The 1,657-nt window shown below is 50.4% G+C and overlaps 1 annotated feature.

Annotated features, from left to right (window-relative positions):
- Positions 442-1,329: an enhancer, noted in NCBI's record as "OCT4-NANOG-H3K27ac hESC enhancer chr13:21687639-21688526 (GRCh37/hg19 assembly coordinates)". NCBI's record gives its function as "activates a minimal SCP1, AML or CMV promoter by ChIP-STARR-seq in primed H9 embryonic stem cells {active_cell/tissue: H9 hESC(primed)}" and the evidence as "EXISTENCE:reporter gene assay evidence [ECO:0000049][PMID:30033119]".

The raw sequence follows: 1,657 nt of genomic DNA on the forward strand, positions 1-1,657 counted from the left end.
GAAGTGACGTGGACAACGTCCTTGCAAATGACGGTGAGGGCTTCCCCCCATTGCCCCTTCTCCTGCTCTTTTGCAGGAAACGTCAACAACCAGAGCCTTCCCCCAGGGAAGGATGGCAGAGCTGTCCCACGAGCCTGGGCCACCACATCTGGACTGTACGCGAAAGAAAAAAGAGCTCCTTTATTATTTAGGCCTTTATTTTTCTATCTTCTTGTTAAAGCAATGTAGCCTGTGTGTTAAAACACAGTAGGTATTTGCTTAATAGACTGTGTAGGAGTTTTAGATGGAAGTCCCCACTCATCACTACTGTTACCCTTAAATAGGTTTAATCTCTTAGATTCCCCAAGTCTTGGACTCAACTGTAGACATTTTGCTATGGACTTTTTTTTTTTGAGATGGAGACTTGCTTTGTCACTGCAACCTCCGCCTCCTGGGTTCAAGCGACTCTTCTGCCTCAGCCTCCCGAGTAGCTGGGACTACAGGCATGTGTCATCACTCCCAGCTAATTTTTGCATTTTTAGTAGAGATGGGGTTTCACCATATTGCCCAGGCTGGTCTCAAACTCCTGATCTCGTGATCCACCTGCCTCAGCCTCCCAAAGTGCTGGGATTACAGGTGTGATCCACCATGCCCGGCCTTGCCCTGGACTTTTTTAAACATAGAGATGAGGTCTTACTATATTGCCCAGGCTGGTCTTGAACTCCTGAGCTCCGGTGATACACCTGCCTTGGCCTCCCAAAGTGCTGGGATTACAGGCGTGAGCCACTGCACTTGTCTTGCCCTGGACTTTTACTGAATGGTCGCTAGGATGAGTTCCCCCCATTAAGGCCACAGAAAAACCGGGAAGCAGAAAGAAGCCTATATACGGAAACTGGCCTGGAGACAGGAGCCTTGGAGGAAAGGGCTCAGCCACAGGGCTGAGCCAGTCCTGGTTTCCCTTCTAGCTGTCTGTGGATGTGCTGAGCCACGTGGGGGAAGCCACGTGGTAAGTTGCTTGAGTTTGGTCCTCTATGTTAGGCTAAAGGGGTAAGTAGAATAAAGTTGACAAATGGTGAGTGGCTGCAGGGGGCTCAGGAGGAAAGCACGGATGCCCCATCCATCCTTTAGACATGCGGGGGAGAGTCCCTGGTGTGATGAAGCCTTCGAGGCCGCCCCGCTGAGTATACCCTGTGTTTACCGCGCAGCAGCTGTGTGCAGGCGATGGAGCTGGCAGGAAGCAGCACCAAGCAGAATGAGACACTGCCCTTGCCACCAAGGGGCTAAGGGGGCACTGAGGAGACAGAAAGACTCTTTTTTTTTCTTTTTTTTTTTTTTCGAGATGCAGTTTTGCTCTTGTTGCCCAGGCTGGAATGCAATGGTGGGATCTCGGCTCACTGCAACCTCCGCCTCCCGGGTTCAAGCAATTCTCCTGCCTCAGCCTCCCGAGTAGCTGGGAATACAGGCATGCACCACCATGCCCGGCTAATTTTATATTTTTAGTAGAGACAGGGTTTCTCCATGTTGGTCAGGCTGGTCTCAAACTCCCGACCTCAGGTGATCCACTTTCCTTGGCCTCCCAAAGTGCTAGGATTACAGGTGCTTGGCCTAGTTTTATCCTTAATAGGCCTCCTTTAAGGTGTTGCAATCTTTCAGTTCATTTTGGCTTAAGGTTCGTATT

The sequence above is a fragment of the Homo sapiens genome, chromosome 13 (genome assembly GCF_000001405.40).
Source record: "Homo sapiens chromosome 13, GRCh38.p14 Primary Assembly".
Classification (NCBI taxonomy): domain Eukaryota; kingdom Metazoa; phylum Chordata; class Mammalia; order Primates; family Hominidae; genus Homo; species Homo sapiens.